At 45.0% G+C, this 22946-nt stretch overlaps 1 long non-coding RNA gene across 1 annotated transcript, besides 1 other annotated feature; it reads left to right on the top strand.

Moving 5' to 3' along the window:
* Nucleotides 13106-15596, top strand: LOC107986172 (uncharacterized). Its single transcript, XR_001741081.2, has 3 exons — nt 13106-13243; nt 14496-14609; nt 15571-15596. It is a non-coding gene; the product is annotated as an uncharacterized LOC107986172 (long non-coding RNA).
* Nucleotides 13476-14407: an enhancer, noted in NCBI's record as "H3K4me1 hESC enhancer chr3:193878773-193879704 (GRCh37/hg19 assembly coordinates)". NCBI's record gives its function as "activates a minimal SCP1, AML or CMV promoter by ChIP-STARR-seq in naive H9 embryonic stem cells {active_cell/tissue: H9 hESC(naive)}" and the evidence as "EXISTENCE:reporter gene assay evidence [ECO:0000049][PMID:30033119]".
* Nucleotides 15597-22946: the final 7350 nt, after the last annotated feature.

Below are 22946 nucleotides of genomic sequence, written 5' to 3'. Positions count from 1 at the left end.
TAAGGAGCCTTCCAGCTCCAATGTGCTGTGATTCTGCTCCATGCTTCTCAGGCTGGGACATAGGGCAATGCGATGGGATCGGAGGGGAGAAAAAACGAATATTTAGAAACCTCAATTGAAGGGTTTTTTGGGGGGGGAAATAAACAAGCAAATGAAAACTTTATTACCAGGAAACTCAGATCTTAATCAATTTCAGGCTGGGTACGGTGACTCACACCTATAATCCCAGCACTTTGGGACGCCATGGTGGGTGGATCACTTGAGCTCAAGAGTTTGAGAACAGCCTGGGCAATATGGTGAAACTCCATCTCTTAAAAAAAAAATTAGCTGGGCATGATGGCATTCACCTGTAGTCCCTGCTACTTGGGAGGCTGAGGCAGGAGTGTTGCATTAGGCCGGGAGGTTGAGGCTGCAGTGAGCCAAAATGGCACCACTGCACTCCAGCCTGGATGGCAGAGTGAGTCCCTGCCCTGTCTCGAAAAAAAAAAAAAAATTAAAAAATTAATTTCAGTGACCGTTCTTATTAGAGGTTTAAATTTTACCCAAATTATGTATTCTTTGGCCACCCCCTCACAGACAGATCACACACATACACATGTGCATGCATCATATGTACATTCTTATTTCCCCTAGCTTTCTTTCTTCATCTCTTCTGTTTTGGTTACAAGTGTCTTTTTACTTTGCTCTTTTTTTTAGAGACAGGGTCTCTCTCTGCTGTGCAGGCTGAAGTGCAGTGATGTGGTCACGGCTCACTGCAGCATCAACCTCTTGGACTCAAGCGATCCTCTCGTGTTGGCTGCCTGAGTAACTAGGACTACAGGTACGTATCATCATGCCCAGCTCATTCTTAAAAATTTTTTGTAGAGATAGGGTCTTGCTATGTTGCCCAGGTTTGTCTTGAAGTCCTGCCCTCAAGCCATCCTCCCTCCTTGGCCTCCCAAAACACTGGGATGTACTGTGGCTGTACACATTGTCTTAGTATAAGCTATTTAAAAATTTTTTGAAATTGGGTAAGTGAAAATATTTTATTTTTATAAGAAAAAAAGATTCATAAAGAAAGTGGACTGTGTTCCTTTGTATTTTCAATACTGTGGTCTTGTTCCTATAACTTACAGCACAGGGAGCTCTATTGGCTGTTAATCAAACAAAGCCTTGACCTAGTCTGGAGAAGTTGTCATAGTCCTGGCTCTGATGTTGCTTGCTGTGTGACCTTGGAATTGTCACTTTCCCTCTCTGAATCACAGCCACCTCATTTGGAAAATAAAGAGGTTGGACCAGATGATCTCTGAGGTGTCTTTCAAGCTTTTTTTTTTTTTTTTGAGACAGAGTCTCGCTGTCTCCCAGGCTGGAGTGCAGTGGTGTGATCTCAGCTCACTGCAAGCTCTGCCTCCTGGGTTCATGCCATTCTCCTGCCTTAGCCTCCCGAGTAGCTGGGACTACAGGCGCCCGCCACCACGCCTGGCTAATTTTTTGTATTTTTAGTAGAGACAGGGTTTCACCATGTTGGCCAGGCTGGTCTCGAACTCCTGACCTCAAGTGATCTGCCCGCCTCGGCCTCCCAAAGTGCTGGGATTACAGGCATGAGCCACCATCCCTGGCATCTTTCAAACTTAAAGATCTCCATATAGGTGACTCACCTTAATAAAACCCAACATGTGAAATGATTAATAAATAAAATCTACCTTCCCCAAACACCTTTTTACTGATAAAGCAGGCTAATAAAGGTAAAACAGCTTGCAATGTAAAAAATAATTTTAAAAGTAGCTGCTTCGTTTTAGAAATGAATTGATTTATATGTAGCGTGACAAATTCTCTCATACCTCTAACTGAAAAAAGTTTGTCTAGTCGGACATTTCAGTGACGGTTCTTTATCCTTAGCAGCTGATCCTGCCACATCCATCAGATAAATTCCCAAGAAATATCCTCATAATGTTCAGCTGAAATCTCTAATGGGTACGATCAAATCAGGCTTAATGTTAGCTCTGGTGAGCAGTCACGTTGAAAGTATGTGTTGCTTTCTCATTATCATTTTATTTCTACCATTAGCCACATTCAAAAATATAAATCACTCCTAATATCTTTCAGAATGAAGGTTAACTATGTCACCTCAGAGCTGACCCTCATCACAAGTGACAATGTGAGGCATTATGGGAGGAATAGGAAACACGGTGCCAAAGGGTCATGTGTGGTGTGACCTTGGGTAAGTCACTTCCCCTCTCATGGCCTCAGTGTCCTTATATGTAATTGTGGGGTTGTTAGAGTAGGTAGTTAGGCAGACATGAGCAGGGCAGGACAGGCCCCCCCTCCACCCCCAGGAATGTCAGGTGACTATCAGGTGACGATGAGGTGGTTCTTAAACTCTCAAAAATAATAATTGTCCACAGCCAGCACCAGGGAAAGGCAGTCTCCCAATAGATAGAAAATACCTGAGGCTGATGAACAGCAGCTTCCGGATAAGATCTCCGGAGTTGTGTGAGTGGGCCCTAGCTTGCGCACTAAGAGGCACAATGGCGGAGTTTAACTGGTATATGACCTTCCTCTAGGAACGCTTGACTGGTAAGGGAAAAACACCTTAAGTGAGCACACACACAACTTCAATAAACCCACTGCACATGCCACCCCTGCCAAGTGCTGGCAGACACTGTGCATGTGGACAGCCCACCCCAAGGGAAGAATCAGGGGAGAAGAGATGTAGCCCCCAGAACCATGCCAACGTATAAAACCCCAAGTCAAGGGCCAAGCACTGTGCTTGGAACTTTCAAGTCACTGACGTGACTCTCTTCCAAGTGTACTCTACTTCCTTTCATTCCTGCTTTAAAACTTTTTAATAAATTTTCACTCCTGGTCTAAAACTTGTCATGGTCTCTCCCTCTCCCTTGTGCCCCTTAGATGAATTCTTTCCTCCGGGGAGGCGAGAATCAAGTTTGCTGTAAGCCTGTTGGATTTGCCACTGCTGACAGGGTTGGTACAGTTGTTCAGAAGGGCCCTTTGGCCCTGTTATGGGCTGGATGTTTGTGCCCCTCCCAAATTTGTATGTTGACACTTAATTGCCACTGTGATATGATGGCATTAGGAGGTGGGGTCTTTGGAAGGGATTTGTGCTGTTATAAAAGGCTGAAGAGATCAGAGTTCTCTTTTTCCACTATTTCTTGGGAATTTTTCTGATGGACGGGGCAGACACAGTGAGAAGGTACCATCTATGAACTAGAAAGCAGGCCCTTCCCAGACACTGAATCTGATGGTGCCTTGATCTTGGACTTCCCAGCCTCAAGAATTGTGAGAAATCAGTTTGTGTTATTGACATGTCACCTGCTCTGGGGCATTTGGTTATAGCAGCCCAAATAGACTTAGGCCCTGATGTGCAGGCGTGCTGACCAGTAATCCGAGCAGTCAGTAGGGCTGCTGTGCATAAGAAGATGATTCTTCAAAGCGCTTCCAAAGACTGTCCTCCCTCAGTGTTTGTAGGTGTATATTTGACTCAACTCATAACACTGTTTGGCTTTAGAAGGTGGATAATGGTTCTTCAAACCCAAGAAAATTATCATAAGGGAGAGAAGTGGGGAGTCAACAAAGGGCTCAGTGAGCATGAACTGAGATGTTCATTGTATTGGCCTCCATCTCCCTTTTCCCCTTCCTACCCAACAAAGCTTCAGCTCAAAAACACTCATTCAATGCTTCACAACGAGGACACGTTCTGTGAAATGCGTGCTTAGGCAATTCCATTGTTGTGTGAACGTCACAGAGTGTACTTACACAAACCTAGATGGTACAACTTACCACACTTGTAGGCTATGTGATCTAGCCTATTGCTCCTAGGCTACAAATCTGTATAGTATGTTACCGTATTGAGTACTGTAGGCTGTTGTAACACAGTGGTAAGTATTTGTGTATCTAAACATATTTAAACACAAAAATAGTACAGTAAAAGTGCAGTCTAAAGGATTAAGATGGGCCTGTATAGGGCAGCTCTATCATAATCCTGTGAGACCACTGTCACTTACATGGCACAAGACTGTATCTCCTGGGTCAAACTGCATTGAAATGCATTTTCCTATACCATGCTACGAGGGTGAGGACACATCTGTAGGTAGGTAGGTTTCAGGGTGCTGGGGAACAGGTGAAAAGGCTCAACCTCTCTTTAATAATCTAGAGAGGGGCTTTTGAACTTTCAGACACAGAAGTCTTTTGGAAAAATGAAGTTTAATGTGGAACTCTATAAATATATATATATATAAGTGATATTTAGCTGGCATAACTTTATTTTGTATGTTCAAATTTATAACATTTATTAACATTTCAACAGGAGGTTGTTTGTTTTGACTAACGACATTTTGAAATTGTAGAAGTGGGAGATAGTTGCTATCTTATCAGCCTCTGCATCTGATAAACATCTGCATTTGTTTTGTTGCTTCCTTTCCAGGTTGCAAATAGAAAGTTATCTGAGGGTAGCATTGCAGTCCAGGGCGCTTCTCAAGTATATGGAGAGAATAAACTTTTTGCTCTGAAGTCAGCCCTAAAATGAGTTATAGATTTCTAGGGTATTGGTTTCTCATGTCTTAATAATGCAATATAATTCAATTAGCATGCATATTATTTCTTGTTTCCTTTTAAAAAACATTTCTAACTGTATTATAAAAATATAGGCTTACTGTCATGTTTGTAGAATTTCTGAATCACTTGTGAGGGGTGTCTTTGGCCAGCGGGCATGAAGAACTGTAGGGGTCTAAGGTAGCCCTGCTGGGGGATATGGGTGAGATATGTCCTCTTCCACACAGAGGCAGTGAAAGGGCCCATGGTGCCCCACAGCGGATCATCTGTAAGCCCCATTTTAAAGCCAGCTTCTCAAGGTTCATGGTGCCCCACGGTGGATGACAAGTAAGCCCCATTTTAAAGCCAGCTTCTCAAGGTTCATGGTGCCCCATGGTGGATGACAAGTAAGCCCCATTTTAAAGCCAGCTTGTCAACATTCACTGGGTCTCTCAGTCGCCTCCCTCTGTGGCTTCTTATTTCCTTGCTGGAATCTTTTTTTTTTTTAAATATGCTTGCCTCCCCTCAGCAGGCTCCAGACCGCACCTGGAAGGTCACTGGAGCCAGCCTGTAAGAGGAAGTATCACCCTTCCCTGAGACCACCATGAAGGTGGGAGTGGTGGGCTTCAGAAGACTCCCAGGAGAAGGGGATCCTAGATACAGAAAGAGGGTTCTCCCAGTGTCCTCCCCAAACCCCCATCCCTCCGCCTTGCCAACCCTGGAGTTTCTGGGCTTTATTTTTAGTAATAAAGCCAGTATTTCCTTAATACTGCAGTCTGCCAAGTTGTACATTAGGCACCGTGGGGGCACAGAGACAAATAGGCTCCGGGCAGCCCCCAGCCTTTCACAGTCAACAGAAATTTGAGCTCCTGGGCCCTTTCAGCCAAGAGAGAAGCTGGGTTCACGGTGCTTCTCAAATGTTATTTTCAAAATGGACTTATCTCAAAGCCGATTGAGTACTAATTTATGTTTTCGATCCCAGTAAGATCTGTTGAAATGCACCCCTTCTTCCAGGCCACCCCCACCTCTGCAGTGTGAGGGAGCACGCGTCAGGGTGTCTGCTGATGACGGATGACCCAGCTTGCTCTTTGTATTGCTTGGCCGGCAGATTTTGTTCCCAGATTGTTTTGGAGTGGCCAGAAGCGGTCAGCATGTGGGATCTCCAAAATCTTGGAGACGTCAGGTCACATACTGGTAACATCATTCAACCGAAGACATTTTTAAAAAAACATAATTCTCTGATATTTGTTAGTTGAGGCTGAAGCCTTTACTTCTCAGGCAGTGAGGAATAGAATTCCAGGGAAAGTAATTTCGCATTGGAGAAAAGTAAAGAATAGAGCAATGTCTTCCCTAAGCCCAGCTACGATTTCTCCTTTCCCAAGGGTCTCTAACGGTGGAGGAGGGCTGGGAGCCCTGTTCTCTGTGTCCTTGTCTTGTAAGTGAGAGACTGGGCTATAGCGAGCAATTATCTATCTCTGAACCCACAGAAAGAGAATGGGTCTATGAGCAATTTTCAATATTTCAAAAAGCTTCATGGCAATCCTTCATTTGCCTGGATATGGGTGGCACAGTCTGATGAAGATGCCTCCTTGCTTTGCTTTTGGCTGTGTGGTAACCCTGGGGACTACCTCATGCAAACAAGAAGGTCTGCCTGGCCAAATAGAACTGTGATTCATTGCCTGGGTTTTGACAGCAGACAGATCTGGGGTCAAGCCTGTGCTCATCTGCTTCCTAGCAGAGTGGCTTTGATGGAACTACTTGATCTCTGTGAACTTCGATGCTTTCACCTGTAAAGTAAGGACAAGAATCTGAACCTCAGGGTGCTGTTGGGGTAGGTCTACGGTGAGCCTTCGATAAAAGGTAGCTGCTGTTGGGACTAGTTGTGATTAATGAAAAATGAGAAATGGAATTATTATTTAATAAAAGTAACCTATTGGTGGGCAAAGATCTTTTAAAACTTGTAGCCCAGAAGGGTTCTAGGCAGTGAAGGTTGGGACCCTCTACACCAGGCGACCCTAAATTTTTCCTTTGCAGTGGGGCTGTGGAGAGGACGTACGTGCATGATTGAAGTTTAACAGGGAAACTTTCATTTCATTTCCTTTTGCTGATTATGCATATCCTGTGGTGTCCTAAAACTCAAGCCTAGGACCATAGTTCAGGCCACATGCCCTGTGGTGACCTCCGTCTAAGCCACCTCTGTGTGCCCTAGATTGAAAACTGTTGATTGAAAAGGTCAGAACAATACCTTCTGTCATGATGGCTGCAGATCACATTCAATCGGGACAGCATTCTAGTGATTCAAAAGACACACACACACTCACACTCACACACACACACACACACACACACACACACACACACACACCCCAAACAGGGACATCAGTGACCTGCGGAGAATGGGGGAGATTTGAGGATTTACCTGGGAATGAAGGTTTCAGTCATGCTACCACCCAGTGGTGGGTGGAAGTAACCTGGTCAGTTAAGCCTGCTCCAGGATTTTGTTTGATATTCAATAATTATCTTACTGCTGCTCTTTGTTCTGGAAGCTCTTTCTTGGCAATGTGTTGAGACACATGTTTTTTCTTCTTTAAAAAAAACACACACAATACAGTGAGACTAAAACTGCTCTAAAAATTGTTTATTAAAACAAAAAAAAAATGTGTGTGTTTGTTCTGCTGACAACAGTGCCATGAAATATAAAACTTGGTGCCCAGGATTTCTTCATGCTAATATATTACATAACTTGAAGGCTTCCCTATGTATTGAACCCCTGTAGAAATTTCCGGCTGAACGTCAACCTCTTCCCCTTCCTCCCAACACACAGCTCTACCTCCCACTCACTTTGCAGTGGACTTTCTTTAGAAGGTCTCTTTTAGATTTTTCTTTTTCATCACACAGAGACGCTGCCATGAATGAAGAGTCTTTCTTCTTACAATTGAAGACTTCAGCTTCAAAAAAATGAGATAAATTCATTTTCTCCTCTCTAAGGTACTTGAAATGTAAGAGTTCATTGAAAGGGGAGGGGGAAACTCATTGTTGAAATTCATTAAGTTTTAGTCTTGACTAAAATGAAAGAAATGGAGATTAACAATTCAAAAATGGAGCTTGTTCATTAAAATTAACTACAGTTACACAGCTTGTCATGCAGTTCACGGGGAATCATTTCTCTCCTGCTTAATTATGATGATGAAAACTCAGCTTTTACTAGGATAAAATGATGTCATCCTTATCAGAAAAAAAAATTGTTTCCCAAGTCTGGCTGCAGCAGTATTTTTCTGGGATGTTTAAAAAAAAAAAGCTTCTAAAGTGATTTGTTAAGTAAAGTTGTTCTCCAGAGCTAGCTCTGTATTGATGTATGTTTGAATACGGGGGGGAAATGTCTCACATAATGAATCCAAGCTTAATAAACCAAATACCAAATGCATTTAAATTTATTACAATTAGGACTTTCGGAGTTGTAAACACCTTAACAGACACACAACTTCAAAATCATTCTGATATTACCGAACTTATATTCAAAATGCCCTGTGCTTTCGTCACATGATTTATTAGATGTGGTGATTGGCATGTTCTAGAATTTCCCCCTCCCCAAAGAAAACACATTTTTTCTTACATGGTTATTGCAGCAGTTATGTATTATAGCTACGAGTGTTATGAAGCACAGCATTACGTTTTAAGAAGCTCCTTCCCTTCCCCATGAGAGAAAGGGACTCTACAGGAAGCAGAGGAGTGGGGCAGCGTGGAGCTACAGGCTCTCATCTCTGGGATGGTTCCAGCTGTAATAAGTGAGCCCAAGACTCTAACGTAACAGGAAAACTCCACTGGCTCCAGTGATTAGGAGGGACCCCGCCCACAAGGACGCTGTTGGCCCCTGTTGCCATCTGCCTTTGGACGTGTTAGGAGGTAAAGAAAGGTCCTTTTTATGTTAAAATCTCACTACCTCTGAAACTGCCCTACAGAAATCCCATCATTCCCCTTCTCTCTCTTTTCTTGGCAACACTAAAAGTCCTTTGTAAACATCCTCCCTGAAAAGCCTCTGTAGATCTGTCCGATAAACTTCCAAAGCGGGGGGCGGGCGAGCGGGCGGGTAGTTTAAGCTCCTGCCTGGGAACAGATTGAATGTAGACAGTTTAAAAGATTATTACATTTGGAGAAGTAGCTGAAATCACCAAGCTTGAAAAGGTGTGAAGGAGCAGCAGAAAGGATACAGTCCTGGTCTGGCTATGCAGGGCTTTTTTTATTTTCTTTCCCTAGACCCCTAAAGCTGTGAGGAATCTTGTTGCTAATCAGAAGGAAGAAACCCAGGCTCTTGGTCCTAAATGCACACAATTATGAAAGCAAAGGCAATGAAACATTAAAAGATGTTCCCAAAGTATGTCAGAGCTAACATACACACCACTCCAACCAAACTGAATTAGCCCAACCAGTCAGAAGTGCTTTTTTTTTTTCTTTTTTTTTTTAAAAAAGAATCTGTTGGCAAATGTGTCTCATTTATCAAATCCTTTCATTTCCCCTTCTCCCCAGCCCTCCTTCACAGGTCAAAGGAAATGCACTGGTCTATTGAAAGATATTGATTTCCTCCCACTGTGAGATTCCTAAGGAACCTCATTGAAAGGAGGGATAAAGATCCTGGTGGGTTTCAGGGACAGCTCTCTTACTTCCTCTTCTCCTACCCTGGCTTCTTCCCATTGGAATGCAGCTAGTTTCTTGACTTTTGGTGAATACTAGGAGTTTCCCAGGAGACATTGTCAGAGACTAGATGGAGGTTACTCCAAGGTACAGTGGATTAAATGCTGCACTGGATGGAGGTGGGACCAGAAGACCCCTAGGACTCCTCTAGCTCTAAGGTCCTGTGGACCAGTCTTTCAATTCTACCCCAAAGGGCCACTTACAGTTCAGAAGCAACTGATACAAGCCTCAGGAAATTAGACTTAGATAGATATTGACCCCCTCCTCTCACCCAGATGATCAAATGGCAGGTGTGGACACTTGTAAGGACAGCAGTGCCTTGTAAGTTAGTCGGGCCGGATGTTGAGTGACGATTGTGGGCAATGCTGGGCTAGATGATGTTGAAACAAAACAAACATGCAGACAAAAACCCTTCTCTTTCTCTTTGAGTAGCGTCTCTTTAGCGAGACCATGACTCTGAGCTCCTAGATGACATACTACATCTATTTTTTAATATTAAATTTTATTGAGGTGTGATTGGCATGAAATAAACTGCACATAAAGTATGCAAGTGATAAGTTTGGCCTATGTGTACAACTGTAAAACCCTCACCACAATCAAAACAGTGGATATATCCCTTCCCTCAAAAGTTTCCTCACATCCCTTTAGGATCCTTTCTGCCTCTCTGGCACCCTATCTTCCCTCCCCCAGTCTCTAGGCAACAGCTAATTTGCCTTATGTCATTGTAGATTAGTTTGCATTTTGGAGAATTGTAAAAGAACGGAGTCATAGAGGACATATTCTTCTTTTTCTGGCCTTTTTTACTGAGCATAATTATTTTGAGATCCATCCATGTTGTTGCATTTATCTGTAGTTTATTTCATTGTATTCCTACATAGTAATCCATCGGATGGATAATATCACACTTTGTTTATCCATTCACTTATTGATAGACATTTGCATTGTTCCAGTTTTTGACTGTTACAAATAAAGCTGCCTTGAATATTTTATGTACAAGTCTTTTGTATCGACATATGCTTTCAGTTCTCTTGGGTAAATACCTATGAATGAAACGGCTGGATCACATGTTAGGCATATGTTTAACTTCTTCAGAAATCATTTCTTGAAATAGTTTGTACCATTTTATATTCCAACCGGCGGTATGTGAGAATTCTAGTTACTTCACATCTTTGCCAATGCTTGGCATGGTTAGTCTTTTCAGTTTTAAACAGTCTGGTGTGTGTGTGTGGTGGGTTCGTATCTCATTATGATTTCAATTGCATTTTCCAAATGACCAATGGTATACATCTTTTCATGTGCTTATTTGCCATCATATTATTTTGGGATGAAGGGTCTGTTGAAATCTTTTGTCCATTTTTTAATTGGTTTGCTTTTTTTATTATTGAGTTTGCAAGTTCTTCATATAATCCGGATACAATTCCCTTATCAGATTTGTGATTTGCTAATATTTTCTCCATTTATTTTCTTTTTCTCCAAAGTTTTTTATTCTCAAGGCAGTGTCTTTTGAAGAGAAGGTCTTAATTTTTTTTAAGGGATGGGGTTTGCTATGTTGCCCAGGCTGGAGTGCAGTGGCTATTCACAGGAACAATCTCGCTACTGATCAGCATGAACGTTTTGATCTCTCCATTTCCAATCTGGGCAGATTCACCTCTCCTAGGGCGACCTGGTGGTCCCCCTCTCCCAGAAGTTCACTATATTGATGCTGAACTTAATGCAGACGCCCTTTACAAGGCTGTATTTTAAACCACACCAGTGTTCAGTTCCTTAGCAAGACGATTCAGAGACAAATACCAGCACTATTAATTATACCTTTATTTAGAAGTGCAGTATCTTGAAAGACAAGTGTTTGAGTAACTTGGAAGAAAAGAAGACTGAAAGGAGGAAAGCCACATTTTATGGAAGAGATGAAATTTATTGGTACAATTTAGATAAGTCAGGAGTAGATAGAACCTGAGTAAGCACCTAGAGAGAATATGTAAAGTTTGTTTAGCAAGAATTCCAATTAAGTTGTAAGAAAGGGTGCATAAGGAATAAAATGGAGATAAAGCAAAAGATCTTGAAATAGAGGTTGAAGAGTTTGTGCTTAATTCTCAAGGCACTAGACAGCCATGAGGTTTTTACTTAAGAGGGAGGGGGTTGCTGCAGGAGTTGAAATGATGGCACTAACTAAACTACTGAATGCTCACATGCGTTTACCGACCCAATCTCCTACCTGCTTGCTCTTGGAGTCAGGAGGAGGAAAGGGAGGAGGGAGGAAGAGATGAAGGGAGGGCTAGGACTTGTGGGAGAGGCTGACTGGCAGCAGGGCTTTAATTTCAATGGAATGTTTTCACGGGCATCGCCTTTCCCTTCCTGGTTGGGTGGATGAGCAGAGGTTCCTTGGGAATGTTTTTCTTGGGCACTTTTATAGGGTTTCAGCTAAAAACACAGGATATTGGTATGCATCTTCACGGTTTAGGTTAAATTGCAGTTTGCCCCCAAAACTTCCTTGAGGTTACATTTTATTCAACCCTTTTCGCCGTTCAAATGCCTACCAAACAGAGATTTATAGAAGAGGCTGAAGCTGGGAAGAGCCTCAAGAGACCATCCAAACCATCCTGTCCTCTTACACTCACTGTTCTATGAAGAAGTTAGGGTGAGAGGGGGTAGCTCAATTCCAATAATGTGAATCTGATGACACCACTTACCTCTATACAATCCTTTCATGGAAACCCCAAATCTTTTCATTTTATTTTATTTTTTTGAGATAGGGTCTTTCTCTGTTGCCCAGGCTAGAATGCAGTGGCATGATCATGGCTCACTGCGGCCTTAACCTCCTGGGGTCAAGCAATTCTCCTGCCTCAGCTTCTCCAGTAGCTGGGACTATAGGCGCACACCACTACACTCGGCTAATCTTTGTATTTTTTTGTGGAGATGGGGTTTTACCATGTTGCCCAGGCTGTTCTTGAACACCTGGGCTCAAGTGATCCTCCTGCCTCAGCCTCCGAAAGTGCTGGGATTACAGGCATGAGCCAACTGTGCCCGGCCTCAACCCAATATCTTTACCTAGAGTGATCATATATCCTGGTTTGCCCAGAATAGTCCTGGTTCTTGTTTTTTTCCCCAGGGTTTAATTATTGGTAATAACCCCTTTCACTCCCTAAAGTGAACCAGTTACATAATAAATTTTATGGTCACCTAAGTAATGCTTTCCAACTGATGCACCCCAGTGTGAAGACTGACGTCAGAAGTGGGTTGTCTCTGAGTTGCTGGGAGAGGGCTGTAAGCTCTTCTATGCATATATAGTTTCTCAATCAGCAGAGAGAAAAGTAAAACTATGACAGGTTGAGTATCCTGAATCCAAAAATTTCAAATCTGAAATGCTCCAAAATCTAAAACATTCTGAGCACCAACATAACTCTCAAAGGAAATATCATTGGAACATTTTGGATTTCTGATTTTTGAATTAGGAATAATCAACTGTAAGCATAATGCAGATATTCCAAATTCTGAAAAAATGTGAAATCCACAACACTTCTGGTCCCAAGCATTTAGGATAAAAGATACTCAAGCTGCACATTTTAAGAGTCTAAGAGGAATGCTGGAGGGAAGGATAGCGATTGTTGAAAGTAGGCACGCACCGTCTGCAGACTCAGCACTCCTCACCCAGCCTGCGGCCCCACAACTCACCGCCTAGCCCTTCCCACTATTTTTAGAGGCAAAGTCTTGCTCTGTCACCCAGGCTGGCGTGCAGGGGGACGATCCTAGCTCACTGCAGCCTTGAACTCCTGGGCTCAAATGATCTTCCCGCCTCAGCCTCCTGGATAGCTGGGACTAGTGGGAAGCATGTGCCACTATGCCTGGCTATTTTTATTTGATTATAGAGATGGGGTCTCACTATGCTGCCTCCTTCTTTACGGTCCAGCCACCAGAAGCAGTTCCTGGTCTCCTGACTCTACTGTGTCACTTCAGGGCTTTGGAACATGCTTTCCCTCTGCTGGAAGACATCTGCAGCCACCTCATCTCCCTCTTCCTTCAGTGCTCTGAGGTATTTCCCCTTGACATCCTCCCCAGGTGTCCCCCAAACCCCCAAACCATGGGACAGAGCCGGGATCTCCCCACTCTGAGCTGCTCTGACCTCCCCTTTCTTTTCTGTCCTGGTGCCCATTAATACTCTACATTGGCTGTGTGAGTGTACGTGCAAGTCTCCCTCCTGGACTGTGAGCAACTAGCGGGCAGGGCTGTCCCCCAACCCCGAGCACAGTGACTGGCATAAGGAGAGGATGCCCACACATACTGTCAAGTACACTCATTCGGTGGATATTTATTGAGCATTAGCTTTGCTCCAAGCACCACACAGCAGGGGACACTGCAGTGCACCAATGTCCCTATACCTGGAGAGCTGCAGCTGAACCCATGAATGGGGCAGTGTGAGTGTGTGGACAGGTCAATACATCATGAATGTGTGTCCATATGTATCCGTGTCTGTTCAAGGAGTTTGCTAGAACCTGCGTTCCTCTCAGGAAGACAGAATGCTTCAAAACAAATCAGTTTTTTTCTTTGTAGTTTCTTTGTGAATTAAGCAGCATAAACCTCTGATCTATGTAAAAACAGGGAAAGGGAAGTCTAGGGAGGCTAAAATAACTTTATCAACGTCGCTGAGTTGAGTGGCTAGTCCCCTGAGGGAGAAGCCTTGTGCCTTGGATCCCAGCTCAGCCGGGGGCAGCCGTGGCCCCGGCACAGCCTGATCTTACCGTGCGTGCCTGGGCGCAGCTCCTTCACCTGGGGGCTTGGGGTTCCTCCCTACTGCTTCTCACCACTGAATGTTTGTGAAAGGCAGGGCTGTGTTTGCGCCTGTAGCCAGGCAGGGGCTCTTTCCCAGAAGCTGGTCCAAGGCCACAGAGGCTGAGCAGAAACCCATGTGCTGTTTGTTGTGAGGCAGGCTCTGTTCTCAGGGATTTATTTGTGAAATTCCTGGAGTGGGGAGGAAGACCTACAGCTTGGCAGAAGTAAATGCCAGGTCCTGAGAAGCTTGGCAAATGGAGAAGGAGAGAAAGGAGTATGGGGTGGGGGGTGGAGAGGGAGGTGGAGAGAGAGAGAGAGAGATACTCAGGCTGAGCCCTGGGATCAGGCTTTGAAGACAGAAAAGATTCTAACTTTTTGCCCTCAAAAGACTGTAAATCAGTCTCATTCTCTCCACACCCACTGCTACACACTCACCTTAATTCATCTCTGCCTTTAACCTTTGACCAATTCTCCTCACCCTAGCTCAGAGATAACTTTCTTCTTCTTTTGTTCAGAGGTTGTAACAGCTTTGGGACGCTCTGGGATCCCTGTTCCACTTTGCCTTTCCCTGCCTTCATCACCCCCTTAATTATGGACATGAACAGTCTTCAGGTCAAAGAAAAATGTGGGTAAGATGTGGCCTCCCCAAGGACTGAAGGCAAAGGCCAGCACCCCAGAGGGAGGCATCACTCTCCAGGACAGGCCGGGGATGGCGGGAGCGCCTCACTCCAGCAGAAGTGAGGGCCTGGCTTGCTCTGTCAGTGGCCCGGAGAGCTCGCCTTACCTCCCTGGAGCATGGGTTAGATTCCAGAACTGCCTCTCCCAGTTCATAGCAAGTACAGAGAGCCATAGTGAGGGGCAGGAGGTGCTTGGAGGTGCAGAGAACAGGTTACCTGTCGCTGTCAGGTAAACCTGAATCCTGAAGCCCAGATCACTCAGCTACTGTCTGAGTCTGCCAGGGGCCTCCCTCCAACACACCCCAAACCTTCTCCCCGTCCCAGTGCAGCTTTCTGCTGTGGTTTCAGTCCTCAGCGGGTCAGCCAGTGCCGCCTCCACTTGTCCTGATCACACTGGCCCTTCCACTCCAGAGGTCATTTGCCTCCTCAGAGGGCCCCATGCACCCAAATGTACTTGAGTATAAGGTGGCCAGAGTGGCTGAAGATGTTTTACCTGGACAGGGAAGGGAGGGCACTCCTGTGAGCCAGGCCAGGGGGAGATGTAAGGGGTGAGGAATCACAAATTTAATTTCAAAAGACTGAAGCTGAGACGTGACAGGGCACTCCTGCACAGAAACTCCCCTCCTTCCTCACTCTAGGAAATCTGGAGAAAATCCAGAAAGTGGGTGGCAGCTGCAGAGGGATCCACACATAGTGGAATAGGGCCTTCCTATCTCCAGAGCTGGAGAGCTGTCTCTTTTGTGTTTTGAGACAGGGCCTCGCTCTGTCACCCAGGCTAGAGTGCAGTGGCGCGATCTTGGCTCACTGCAGCCTGGGCTCAAGCAATCTGCCCACCTCAGCCTCCCGAGTAGCTGGGAATACAGGTGCGTGCCACCAGGCCCAGCTAATTGCTCATTTTTTTGTATTTTTGTAGAGATGGAGTTTCCCCATGTTGCCCAGGTTCGTCTAGAACTCCTGGACTCAAGTGATTTGCCTGCTTCGGCCTCCCAAAGTACTGGGATTACAGGTGTGAGCCACTGCACCCGGCCTGGAGAGCTGTCTTTAGGGTGGTAGCTGAATGTCATATTCCTGGACAGACCTGACCGCATGGAATGGCACAGTCTCTGGGACCCCTGCCTGCCTTTTCTTTCTCCCTCTCCACTTAGAAACTTCACCCCAGACTGGGTTCAGGAATAGGGCTTGGTACCCAATATAGGGCCTAGTATACAGTAGGTGCTAAAGGTGTTCACTGAATGAATGATTAAAACATGAACCAGTCAGGGAGGAGACAAAAGAGGTAGGACTCAGGACTGGGCAGAGACTGGGGACACGGGTGGATAAATGGTAGAGGCTTAAAGGGGTTCTGTGTCTTGGGACAGAACATATATGCCTGTGACTCATGAACATAAGCCTCAGCTTCTAACTGCAGTATCTGGCATAAATGGTTCCATAGTTCACAATGTATGCACAGCCTGACCCCCATTCAAGGGGCAGGCATCCAGGGACAGCAGTTCAGAGGACTCTGGTCTCAAGCTGGAGGAACCATATGATCCCACGCTCCCATTTTTAAATGAGGGCGAGTGACATTGCCAAGGTCACAGTGGGTTGGAGCAGGGCCCATCTCCAGGTCAGGTTCTCCTGGCTCCACCTGGTCCCCTCCAGGGGATTTAAAGAGGCAGCTTTTCCTGGATGAAGACTGATTGGTGACTGTGACTCATTAGCACATGAAACCAGTCAGACCTGGCATGGCTCTGCCCACCCTCTTTCAATCACACCCAGCCCTGGAGCCTCTTCTAACCTATCCTCTAGTTCTCCAACTACACTGCCTACTAGCCACCTGGAATCCTCAGCCTTTTAAAGAAGAAGCACTTGTTTTGCTTGAATCACCTCAGAAGGCCCCTATTTTATTTTAATTATTTACACTCAAATTCCGGAGACACTTGTGACAGCCCAGTGTCTCATTCGTCTTTCCACAGACACAACACACAGTAGGTGCTCAGTAAGTTTGGTGTTGGGAGGAGGTAGGAAAAAGATGAACAGAACTCTAGGCAGTCTGGGGAGCCCTGAGCTTTACTGAGCTTTGTTTGTGAGTTTTCTCAGCAAAGCCCCAAACTGGATAGTCTGGCAAGGAGAACTGCCTTTATGTGCCTATTAGCCAAGCAAAAAGTGTTTGCTATTAGATCTTCATTTATATCAAATATGTGCAAAGGACTAAAGTAGACTCCCAAGTGAAATGAAAATTAAGTTGTTAGACAAACTTAGGGAATGGGAACTCCAGCTGGAACAAACTTATGAGACACTTGTCTTTAAATACTAATTTTTAGAGATGCAAGTGCAAACTTCCTTCAATAATAATCTATGACTCAATTTACTTCCATTCTAATTCAGGAGTTAAATCACACATCCATAAACAGTCAAGAGCAGCTTGTAACATCACTGGCATGTGGACATCCCGTGAATTGTTTATTGATGGCTCTTTTGGAGTAGAGTCTACAAAATTACGTCTTCAGTTACTTAAATTTTTCAAATGAGGGGAAAAAGAAAAACACCAACCTTTCAACCATACTTCAAAGATGGCAGCCAAGGTGCTTTTATGTCATAACTAAAGCCAAAGAGGATCTTAAAGATTCCTAGCCTACATTTTCAATATCCCATAGTGTTTCTTATAATTTGAAGTGATGTCAAAGTTTGCTCAAACACAATTAAGTATGCTTTAGCTTCAATTTTATCTTTCTTCCTTCCCTCCCTTCCTCCCTTCCTTCCTTCTTTTTTTCTCACTCTTGTTGCCCAAGCTGGAGTGCAATGGCTCGTTCTCGGCTCATTGCAACATCTGCCTCCCGAGTTCCAGTGATCCTCCTGCCTCCCGAGTAGCTAGGATTACAGGTGCCTGCCACCAGCCTGGCAAATTTTTGTATTTTTAGTAGAAACAGGGTTTTACCATGTTGGCCAGGCTGATCTTGAACTCCTGACCTCAAGCGATTCACCCGCCTCAGCCTCCCAAAGTGCTGGGATTACAGGTGTGAGCCATCGCGCCCAGCCTAGCTTCAATTTTCATACACACACACGCACCTGTGTGATGACTGATTACTGACATTTTTTGCATCACTTTTGCTAGAAGTTTTCTTGTGGGATGAAAACTACTGAGAAATTAAACAAGTAGGCATCTCATATCCAAATGTTGTGGACCACTGGAATTGCCCTTAAAATAAAAAAAAGAATTACAAAATAAAAATGATCAAATAAGACAAATATGAAACACTTTTTTATAGAGAGGAAAATTGTTATTAGTGGAAATAGAAACAGAAACAGGTCCTAAAAGCTTTCAATGTTTGGCTACAATTGTTCCATGGTGTTTAAGGATATTTTGGGAAATAAGATAACATTACTTCATAAGTCACTGGGGGAAGTGTGATGAAGTGGACCAAGCTGAGACCTGGGTTTTAACTGTGTCACATAAAGGGGGCAGGGGAAAGAAGGTTAAAAGCAGGGTGGAACTGTTTGATGGGGTCTTGGGGGCCTCAGTGTTTGAACTTCAGCAGGGAGTGGGAGCCACAGAAGATTTTGAAGAGGAAATGGGAGAAGGTGGGGTCTCCGCTTTGGCAGAACACACCAGTAACCTGGTGGAGAGAGACTGGAGGAGGTAGACAAAAGGCAAAAAGCCCAATTCAGAGGATTTAGCAATAGCTGATGTACAAAATACTGAAGACACGTGAGCTGAGGTAAAGAGGATGAGATAGATGGGGAAGTACTTATATGGAATTCTCTAAGTTCTTGATGAATGATAATGGCAGATAGGTAGGAGATAAAAGAGGAAATGAAAAACAGCTTTAACCTACCTGGGAGGATAATGATCCTTAAACCCTCCAGTGCTGAGCTGGCCTGTATGGTAGCCACTGACCACAGGTCTCTATTGAGCACCTGAAATGTGGCTAGGGCAACTTTCTGAATTGAGATGTGCTGTAATGATACCATCAAAACCTATGTCAAAGACTTGGTACCAAAAAAAAAGAATGTGAAATATCCTGTTGATAATGTTGTATATGGGTTACATGTCAAAATCATACTATCTGGATATATTGGGTGAAATATAATATATAATTAAAATTAATTCTACCTTTTACTCTCTTTTTTAAAAAATTTAGCTACTAGAATATTTAAAATTGCATCCATGGCTTCATGGCTCACATCTTATTTCTTTCTTTTTTTCTTTCTGAGACGGAGTCTCACTCTGTTGCCCAGGCTGGAAAGCACAGGCACAGTCTCGGCTCACTGCAACCTCCGCCACCCAGGTACATCTTATTTCTTTTAGGCAACGCTGCTCCAGGGGCTTCCCATCGTGCTTAGACTCAAGTCCAAATTCCTTGTGATACCTTCAAGGCCCTGTGTGAACTGACCTTGGCAGCCTTCAAGGCCCTGTGTGAACTGACGTTTGCCAGCCTTTCTGGCCTCAACTTGGAACACATTGTCTGGTCGCTGTGTTTCAGGCACATGCCCTTTCAGTCCCTCTGGCACTCTGAGTTCCTGCCTGCCTCAGGGATTTGCCTGTGCCGTGCCCTCTGCCTGTAATATTCTCACCCTAGATCTTTACCTGGTTGGCTTTTTCCACCATTCGCATATCATCCAACTCAGATGTCGTTTGTTCAAGAGGACTACCTTGACCAACTTTCTTTCTTCCTTCCCTTCCCTTCCTTTTTCTTTTTCCTTTCTTTCTTTCTCCTTCCTTCCTTCTTTTCTTCCTTCCTTCCTCTGCTTCCCTACCCCCCTCCCCTCTCCCCTCCCCTCCCGTCCCCTCCCATCCCCTCACCTCCTCGTCCCTCACCTTTTCTGTTCTTTTCTTTCCTTTGGTCTCGCTCTATTACCCAGGCTGGAGTAGAGCTCACTGCAGCCTCAAACTCCTGAGCCCAAGAGGATCGCTGCTACTGTTATATCCAAAATGTTTACGTTTTTAAAAATGAGTCTTTGACAACAGCTTGGAGAACATATTTCCAAGGTGTGGTGGCTCACACCTGTAATCCCAGCACTTTGGGAGGCTGAGGCTGGTGCATCACTTGAGGTCAGGAGTTTAAGACCAGCCTGGTCAACATGGTGAAACCCCTGTCTCTACTAAAAATACAAAAATTAGCCAGGCATGGTGGCGGGCGCCTGTAATCCCACCTACGTGGGAGGCTGAGGCAGGAGAATCACTGGAACCCAGGCGATCCTCCTGTCTCAGCCTCCCTAGTAGCTGGGACTACAGGCATGAACCACCATGATCAGCGTTGACTATTGTTTCTAACCAGCTCTATCTTCTTGTCCCTGCCCTCCACTGCCCCCCAAACTCTATTCCATTGCTTTATTTTATTTTCCTCAGAACACTTTATCTGTATAAAAATTATCCTGTTAACTTTTTGGTTTAATGGTTTATTGTCTATCTCCTCCTGATGACAATTTAAGCTCCAAGAAAGTGAGGACCTGGTCTATCTTACTCTCTTTTGTATCACCAGCCTAGCACAGTGCCTGGCACATAGTAGGTATACAGCAAGTATTTGAAGAATGAACGGATTGAGAAATACAGAAATATTGAGAAGTGAAGGGTTAGAGAAATGTCTTGATTATTAATTGCTGTGTGACAAAGCATTCCAAAACTTAGTGGCTTGAGAACAAAAACCAGCTAGCTCCATGCTCTGCCTGGACCCGGGAAACCTAAACCATATCCTACAGCCTATAGTAACATGACTTTGTGCTGTTTCTCTGTCTTCATTAGTATGACTTGATTTTTCCAGATGTCTCCTGGCCAGGTAAGTGGTTTGATTGTTCATTAAAGAAACTTTCCATCAACCATTCCATGGAAAACATCCACAGACAATTTGTGCCCTAAGATTCTGTGACTCCTTCATCTTGAAATCCTTACTTTGCTGTTTCCACCAATTTTGGAGTGTTGCATAGTGATTCTTGCCCGGTCCTGATCAAGTCCCCATAATGAAGGACTGCCTTAAACCAAGCTCCCAATTATCAGTGCATTCTGACCTTCCTTTCCCCATTGGAAGCACTGCCAAAGCTTTGCCAGGTGGCGTTCTCCCTTACCGCAATAAGCAATGAGATCAGCTTTGTCTCACCGATAGGTTGTGTTGGTGATAGTCGGGAGCCAGCTTTGGTAGGCTTAAAACAACAACATTGTATTATCTTTCATCATGCTGAGGGCTGAGTGGGCTCAGCTGGGCGACTCTTCTGCTCCACATGGCATTGGCTGTGCTGTAGTCATCCTGGGACTCCACCAGCTGCAACACCAAAGATGGCTTCCTCATGTCTGGTGCCTTGGCAGTGATGGCCGGCAGGCTGGGCTCAGCCATGATGCTGGGATCAGCCATGATGCTGGGATGGCCAGGCCTCTCTCTCTCCATGTGGCTGCTCCACATGGTCTATCCAGAAGTGTAGCTGACTTCTTAGATGGTGGCTCAGGGCTCTCCAATGTGCAAAAGCAAAATCTCCCAGGTCTTCCTAAAGCTTATACCTGGAACTGGCCCAGTATGACTTCTGCACCTTCTATTCATTAAAGCAGTCACAGGGCCAGGCCAGAATCGAGGGGAGGAGAAAAACTCCACCTCTTGACTGGGAGTGTGACAACAAATTTGCCTCCCACCTTAATCCACCAGAGAGCTGAGTTCAGAGACTGAAATAGTTGTCAGTCATCAAGTTCAGGGAAGAGAATGGAACCAGAGCTCAGGCAGGGCGGAGAAGGAGGAGAGCCTTTTCCTCAGCCCTCAACTGGAAGCCCTGGGCTGTCTCAAAACCTGAGGCCTGAGCAAAAAAGCCAAACAATAAGTTATGAGCAGCCACAACAAGCCAGGCAGACCCTGGGATGATCCTAGTAGAGAAACCCAGAGTAAAGCGGCGCGAATTGTCTCCGTGTGACAGTCTAGCCATGAGAGACCCAACAACAATACTCAGGACTTAGGAAGAGGGTAATTACGTGCTGGGCTGAACCGCACCGACTAGCAGTATGACTGGCATTCAGAAGAGGAAAGCATGTTCTCCAAGCTGTTGTCAAAGACTCATTTTAAAAAATGTAAACATTTTGGATATAAAAGTAGCATAAGTACTTCACGGAGTTGTTTGGAAAATGAAGAAAAGGGAAAAAAATCACCCATATTCTCTTTCCCTAACACAGCCAGGTATTCCCTCCCAGTCTTATCTGTGAGTGGGTCCTGTGAGGGGACTTGGGAAGCCGCTAAGAAGCCATGGCTTTGTGGGGCTGATCTGTGCTGAGGGTAGGAGAGATGGCTTCCCAGTCCTCTGCAAAGGGATCCAGTTAGAGAGAAACAGTCTGGGTCAGGGCATTTCTTGGGTGTCCTGTTGCTCTTCAGCCCGGACGCCTGGCACTCGGAGGTAGATAAGTGCAGTGTGAATGGTCTCCCAGTAGTTCCTCGGAGGGAGGTCTGGGTGGAGCCCTGGTGAGGCAAGTAGGTACACGGGGATCTGAGGAGGTGCCAGGATGTGGGAAAAGGAGGCAGGGAGGTGAGAAAGAAGAAAAGAAGAGGCAGGGTGCAGTGGCTCACACCTGTAATCCCAGCACTTTGGAAGGCCGAGGCGGGCAGATCATGAGGTCAGGAGTTCGAGACCAGCCTGACCAACATGGTGAAACCCTGTCTCTACTAAAATTACAAAAATTAGCTGGGTGTGGTGGCACGCACCTGTAATCCCAGCTACTCAGGAGGCTGAGGCAGGAGAATTGCTTGAACCCCGGAAGCGGAGGCTGCAGTGAGCTGAGCCCAGAGGCAGAGGTTGCAGTGAGCTGAGATCATGTCACTGCACTCCAGCCTGGTGACAGAGTGAGACTCCATCTCAAAAAAAAAAAAAAAAGAAAAGAAAAGAAAAGAAAAGATTGCATTGCGGTGAGAGTGGCGGCAGCGTGCTCAGTACAGTTGTCTATCTGCCTACTTGGTTAACAGAACTTTATTGAGCCCTTACTGTGCGGCAGGCCTTGTGGCAGGTCCTGAGGTTGCAGTGTGACCCTGAAGGACAGCTCATAGGCCCATGTGATGAGGGGTCTTATTGGGCAATGTTGACTGCAGCACAGCACATAGTGAGGGCACAGCAGAAGGAAATTCACGGAGAGGAGGCTCACGCAAGGTTTCAGAGGCAGCCATCTAATTTGAGACCTGAAAGCTAAGTATTAGCCAAATGGACTGGTGAGGATGGCCTGGGGACATAGGGAGATTTTCTAGGTGGAAGTAACAGAAAATACAAAGCTGAGAGATTTGAAAAAAAGAAAGAAAGGAAGGAAGGAAGGAGGGAGGGAGGGAGGGAAAGAAAGAAAGAAAAGAAAGAAAG

Source organism: Homo sapiens, chromosome 3 (assembly GCF_000001405.40).
Source record: "Homo sapiens chromosome 3, GRCh38.p14 Primary Assembly".
NCBI lineage: Eukaryota > Metazoa > Chordata > Mammalia > Primates > Hominidae > Homo > Homo sapiens.
This window is presented reverse-complemented; position numbering and strand designations above follow the sequence as displayed.